This window comes from Homo sapiens, chromosome 3, assembly GCF_000001405.40.
Source record: "Homo sapiens chromosome 3, GRCh38.p14 Primary Assembly".
Taxonomy (NCBI): domain Eukaryota; kingdom Metazoa; phylum Chordata; class Mammalia; order Primates; family Hominidae; genus Homo; species Homo sapiens.
In genome coordinates, this window is record NC_000003.12 from 80,789,773 (window position 1) to 80,797,410 (window position 7,638).

The window sequence follows — 7,638 nt, forward strand, 5'->3', positions numbered from 1 at the left end:
CATGGACTAAGATAATATTTATTTATGATATCAAAGTTTCTGTAGGTCAGAAACCCTGGCACTGGGCTGGGCGCGGTGGCTCACGCCTGTAATCCCAGCACTTTGGGAGGCTAAGGAGGGTGGCTCATGAGGTCAGGAGTTCGAGACCAGCCTGACCAACATGGTGAAACCCCGTCTCTACTAAAAATACAAAAATTAGCTTGGCATGGTGGTGCATGCCTGTAAACCCAGCTACTCAGGAGGCTGAGGCAGGTGAATCGCTTGAATCCGAGAGGCAGAGGTGGCAGTGAGCCGAGATTGCGCCACTGCACTCCAGGCTGAGTGACAGAGTGAGAGTCCATCTCAAAAAAAAAAAAAAAGAAAAAAGAAACCCTGGCTCTGGTTAACAGCGTCTTCAGCTAAGTGGCTACCGGTTTTGAAAAAGGGATGCTTTCTGGGCTGCATTTTCATGTGGAGCTTGAGATCTTCTTCCAAAAGCACTGATTATTGACAGAATTCAGTTCTTTGAAGTTGTAGGTAGAGTTCTTGTTTTTTGTTTGTTTGTTTTTGTTTTTTCTACTGGCTGATGACAAAAGTTTGCTCTCAGACCCTAGAGACTGCCTTTTATTCTTTAACACATGGACTCCTCATCTTCAAACCCAGCAATGGAGAATGTTCCTACTGTGGAATCTGCCTGGTTTCAGTAAGGGCTCAGTCCCATTTAAGGGCTCACCTGATTAGGTTAGTGACACCCATATAATTTCTCTTTTGATTGACTCAAAGTCAACTTATTAATAGTCTAATTATGGGAGTGATATTCCACCACATTCACCAGGAAACAGAATTTTCCAAGGCATGTATAAGAAAGGGCAGGAATATCTAGGGCCATCTTAGAATTCTGTCTAATTCTGCCTTCCACATATTAAATATAATGTGGAGAAACTGTATTCTATTTGTTGATAGAACAAATTTTAGAGCTATACTTCCTGAGTTCAAAATCCAATTGTGCTATATAATAATCATGCAATCTTGAGCAACCTACTTAAATTTAATGACTTCTGTTTCCTCAACAGTAACATATACATTATAGTAGTACACATTATAATGGTATAATAGTACACATTATAATAGTATTATACAATTAATATATTATACATATAAACACCTACAGCAATATGGAAGGTGTATATGTATATACACCTTCCATATATGTATATATATAGAGAGAGAGAGACAGAGAGAGAGGAGAGAGCTTAGCGCAATATGTAGCACATAGCACTATATATATTTTGGCTATTTTATTATTAGCCAGAATAGAAATATGCTGAAGCAAGTGATAAAATTTCTTTTATTATTATACTTTAAGTTTTAGGGTATATGTGCACAACGTGCAGGTTTGTTACATATGTATGCATGTGCCATGTTGGTGTGCTGCACCCATTAACTCTTCATTTAACATTAGGTATCTCCTAATGCTATCCCTCCCCACTCCCCACACCCCACAACAGGCCCCAGTGTGTGATGTTCCCCTTCCTGTGTCGATGTGTTCTCATTGTTCAATTCCCACCTGTGAGTGAGAACATGCGGTGTTTGGTTTTTTGTCCTTAAGCGATAGTTTGCTGAGAATGATGGTTTCCAGCTTCATCCATGTCCCTACAAAGGACATGAACTCATCATTTTTTATGGATGCATAGTATTCCATGGTGTATATGTGCCACATTTTCTTAATCAAGTCTATCATTTTATTAAGTTTTCCTGCCCTGCTCTTGGTCCCAGAGCTCTTCCATAAGTCCCTATTTATCCATTTCTTCTCCAGTGTTTTGACTCCCTTACCTAATTGCCAATTAATATTTTCTAATGTGTGCTAGTTAAGTAACTGTTTCTCAATTTACATCAAGACTTACATTGTACTAGGGTGGGAGGTGGCATTTAAACACCAACAAAACAGCAATGACTTAAAAGAATACATTTCTCATGCATGAATACAACACCTAATAATAGGTCTGTGCAATATTTTGAAGTAATATTTTATTTACATACTCATGATATTTATTTGATTTTTATTAGTGACAAGAAAATTATAATGATGAATGATTACCTTTAGTAGACTATGGTTGCTTAAAATAATTTTATATATACTAATTTATTAAAAAAATTATCTGGCCCCATCAATGGAAAAAGGGGCATGAAAATAAGATTTACAGGACAATCAAATTGATTTACAATTTATGTTGAACATTATTAGTTATCTGACTGGTGAGGAATGCCTTATGAAATCTTTCATTTTAAAGTTATTATTAATTGAAAAATAAAAATATAACAATGATAAAAAAGAAAATATGACATAAGTAGTGACAAACATGTAGTTGAAAAATAGAGAAATTGCAAATCACAACACCCAGAATCTAAAGATAATTCCCCAAATAATTTTCTCTGTGACCTTGTGAAAAATCTCAAAATTATTGTGGGATTCTTCACACTTAACAACAACAAAGGTTGAAAATTCAGATATTAATTCTCTGTGACTAAGAACTAATATCTGCATTAGCTTCATTGGTAAATTTATAATAAAGGCCAGTCTTTTTTTTTTCTATTTTGATCCGTAAACCAGATAAGCCTGAGTGAACTATTTTTATAATAGGTAACATTCTAATGTGAATTTATAATTTTAAAATGTTTTCGTATCTGATATATTATTTAATTTTCACATACACAATGTGATAAATAAGGCAGTAATTGTTATTCCCACATTATCAATGGAATAAGGGTGATTCAGGGAAGTTAAGTAACTTGCAAAGAAGCATACAGTTAATGAGTCTTAGCAACATGACTTAACTTTAGACTTCCGTGTTTGCTTTTCCAGCACATCATGCTACCATTTTCGTGTTATTTTCACTATAACGTACACTAAAACTTCTATACTTTTAAACATTTAGAGAAAATAAGACAGGGATAACACACAAAAAAATTGTTTCCAACATGGACTGGTTCAGCCCTCCTTAGGCAAGCTGGTGGTGTTCACTCCCAGGAAGTCACCATATTGATTCTGAACTTAGTGCAAACACCTACAGGCTTAGCACAAAATAGCCAAGAACTCCTGGGCTCAAGTGATCCTCTTGCCTCAGCCTCGTGAGTACTTGAGACAGACATTTTTCAAAATAAAACATAAGAAATGGCCAAAAGGCATATGAATAAATTCTCAACATTACTAATCATCAGAGAAATGCAAATTAAAACCACTATGAAATACCTTCTGACACCTGTCAGAAAGGCCAATGTTAAAAGACAAAAAAAAAAAAAGTTGTTGGCAAGGATGCAAAGAAAATAGAACACTTGGCCGGGAGCAGTGGCTCATGCTTGTAATCCCAACACTTTGGGAGGCTGAGGCAGGCAGATCACAAGGTCAGGAGTTCAAGACCAGTCTGACGAACATGGTGAAACCCTGTCCCTATTAAAAATACAAAAAGTAGCTGGGTGTGGTGGCGTGCACCTGTAATCCCAGGTACTCAGGAGGCTGAGGCAGGAGAATTGCTTGAACCCGGGAGGCAGAAGTTGCAGTGAGCCAAGATTGCATCTGGGCCACAGAGTGAGGCTCTGTCTTAGCAACAACAACAACAAAAGAAAATAGAACACTTCTGCTCTTGTGGATGTGAATGCAAATTAGTACAACCTCTATGGGAAACAGTATGGAAATTTCTCAGAGAGCTAACTGTAGAATTAACGTTCAATCTAGGCATTTCTGTCTGTCAATACTGTGTATCCACTCAAAGGAAACGAAATCATTATATCAAAAAGATACCTACACTTGTATGCTTATTGCAGCACTAATCACAATGGCAAAGATATGGACTCAATCTAAGTGTCTGTCAACAGATGACTGGATTTTAAAATGTAATATTAAACGTTTTATATATATATTTATATTCACATATATAATTTTATTCTTTTTCACAGCTGAATAGTATTCCATTGCATATATATGAAATATATATAATATTCCATTGCATATATATTTATATATTGCATATATATGCAATGGAATACTATTCAGCCATGAAAAAGAATGAAATCATATTTTTGCAGCAACATGGGTGAAACTGGTGCCATTATCTTAAATGAAACCAGTCAGACACAGAAAGACATGCTCTCACTCATAAGTGGGAGCTAAATTGTGTGTATGCATAGATGTAGAGTGTGAAGTGATAGACAGTGGAGACTTGGAAGGGTGAGGGCCTAGAAGGGGAGTAGATGATGAGAAATTACTTAATGGGTACAGTGTATATTATTGAGGTAATGGAAACCTTAAAAGCCCTGACTTCACCTCTATGTAATATATACATGTAACAAAATTGTACTTGTATCCCATAAATTTATACAAATAAAAAATTGTGGTCAGACCTGAGTAACACAATATTGTACACTGTCCTTCCCATTTGAGTGGTTCTAAGAGTAATAAATGTACTAGTCAAAATGACTCAAGGTGAATTTTAATAATTAGTTTAATTAGATATTCATGAAAATTCAATAGTTACTTGAAAATTTTGGTTTTTACAACAATTTGAAGTAATTCCAAAGATTCCAGGCCCCATATTTTAAATTATCTTCGTTTTTTCTTTGAGAAATAAAAAATATCTAGGTCTAAGAGGTGTCTCCATGTTGACCTTGCAACAAGAATAAAGGTAATAGCTTTAAAAATATAATTAGGTGATCAATAGAGTACTTGAATAGCATATTTCTTCTTGTATCATCTTTAATTTCTCAGTATTTATATCTGGGTCGTAATTTACACCATTGCAAGCTAAGGTTTAGAGGTGCTGATAGAACTTATGCCATTTTCTTATCTTACCACTATAAAAACTTTTGCTTTCAGTGGGACAAGTTGTCATGAAATCTTTTAATTCCATTGATCAGAGTTCAAAAGAGAGACAAAAGATCTGCAGCACAGTAACAATTGACAGAGTATAACTTCAGCATTAACTGTATGCATTAAGAATAACATTCCTAAACACAAGCAAAAAATACAGCATGTATCAAGCTTTATTTCTAATTATATATGTGATTTAGAACAAATAATTTAACCTCTCTCTTCTTTTGTCTCTATTAATTTATACTCTATGAAGCATTTTTGTGCCTTAGCATATTTCCACGGTAAAGTAATGTTAAAGAAAAAAAGAAAGAGTCATCTGGAAAAGGATAATGATATAGCAATTGTCAAACAGTTTGAATTTTTTGGAAGAAAAATATGAAGCAATTTGAAGCATTATTATTTAATGAAAGCAGCTATATCTCTATCTCACATTCACATGAACATAACTGTATAAATTATAAATGAATCTTTTTGCTTTGAATAGAAAAAGGAGGGTGAAAATTGTCATTCGTCAATAACTTGGTATGTCAAAAATAAAGAAACTAGCGTTATCTACTAGTTTAAAAAGCAAATCAACCTAATGGTAAAATATCCTTCTTTCAATGATATGAAAAATGTTTATTTTACTGATTTACTCCCTGTCTTTTTATTGTTAATGTAAATGTTAATTTAAAACTGTTCATCAATATTTTTTATCTTTCCTGTCTTGAAATAATATCATTGTTTCCCCACACCCTAACTTGAATAGAGATCTTTTGTCATAGATATGATAGCATTATTTTTCATATTTCTTATTAGGTCTTTCCACTGTTTATATTCACTATCCAATAAATACTTATTAGGCATCTGTTAAATGCAGTGTACTAGAAGTTTTGAGTTTTTTAGGGATACCACAACTAGCTATGATTCATGGTAGATGTTTACATCTTGTTTTTAATGACATCTCAGCAGGTGTAAACTAGCTCAACTAGCGGACGGGAGAAGGGTAGTCTATAAGGACATTTGGTGTGTGCCTCTCAGGCCAGTCTCCGTTTACATGACAAGAACGTAATCCAGGGAATCATGCCAAAGTCTTTCTATTATCTCAACTCTCATTTCTACCTTAAAGCCTTTTGTTGACATTAGACTTTCAGGACCGTCTTTCTTCAAGGATTCAGAGCTTTTCTCTGTCTTGGCCTGCCATTTTAGAAAAGTGTACTTTTCTTTGTTCTACATGTTTCTATAGACATTTTTGTTGGTTAAAAAATTTAATTTTCAATTTTTGTTTACAGAAACATTCACTGCTAAATTTTGACTCGATATCTTGACATTTTCTGGAAAAATTTATTTAATATTTATTCACTTTCTGTTGAATAAGAATAACATGCAGTGCCTCTCTTGAAGTAGCTTAACTAGTAATTTGGGAAATATGTTATTTTAACAACTATTTTTATAATGTCCAACTATATAAAGAGCACTGTGTATATTGCTGTGAATTACAATAAAAATGGTTTATAGCCTCAAAAAGCTAATAGTCAAGTGAGAGAATCTGACATGCATAGTATGTTACAATAGCATAAAAATATGTTAAATGCTTATTAGCCATGCAAAGTATAACACAAGCACTAAAAACAAAAACAGAATAATTTTACATGAGCATAAGGAAAAGATTAATGGAGGAAATTACATTCAATATGAATGAGGTTTCTAATGGAGAAAATATTGAATATGGGTAATGTTTCTGTTAGTGGAAAAATGTCAGAGTATATTCTTACAATGAGAATTTTGTTAGAATAACGACTTTAAGGTAAGAAAATGTGGCTTTTTAAAACAAGTCTGACATGGGTTGTATATACAATATCAGAGGTTCAAAGCAGAGAATATGACTAAAATGTAGAAAAATCAACACTGGCTTTAAATCTATTCTAAAAGATGCAGTGCTGATATAATAATGATTATCTCAGAGACTAACTGATATTGATTTTGATAAGGCAATCCAGCAACAAATGTAACAGAGATACTATACTCTTCAAGAATTCCTGGAAAAATTGGGGACACAGATGTTAAATAGGAGATATTTGTTTTCCTAAGTGGATATTTAGGCCTGAGGTACATTAACAGAACCATAAAAATGCTAGTTGATGAGCAATATGAAGATTAGAAATATGAAGTCCCCTATGACTTACAAATGAAGTTGGTGTCTGGAAGTTTTTTACATCATTTGAAAGAGATACTGGGAAATTCTTATAAGACTATAATAATTAAATTAAAATATGCATGTAATTGATCCTTTTAAATAGCGTATTGTTATGTGTCTGGGAAAAAAAAGACGTATTTTTGTGAAGTTGATTTGGATCTGAAGAGCTGTTTATAATTGGCACATAATATCCGTCATCCCCTTGAAATTACAAACACAAAAATATTCTGGAAAATCACATGTTTTCTTTTAAACCCATCGCACTATTCTTAGAGAAAATGGTAGTTATATTATTTGTAGCTTTATCATTAGAAAAACAAACTTTCCTTAAGAGTTCACATGTCCACAGTAAAACATTGTGCTAAAGTTATAAATGTTTAGAGCCTACTCTCCAATAGTATAAGAGAGAGTATAATGATATGCAAGAAGTTTAAATAAATCTTAATAATGTTTTCTAAAATTTATCATCTATTTTAAATTGAAATTTTGAATGTAATTTTATTTCATTTGATGAAGGTTATAATAATATTATTTTAATATTTTAAAATTAAAGTTCGTATTATTTTAACACGTAATTGAGATTTTGCTCTGAAGAATTAAAATTATATAATCTGTG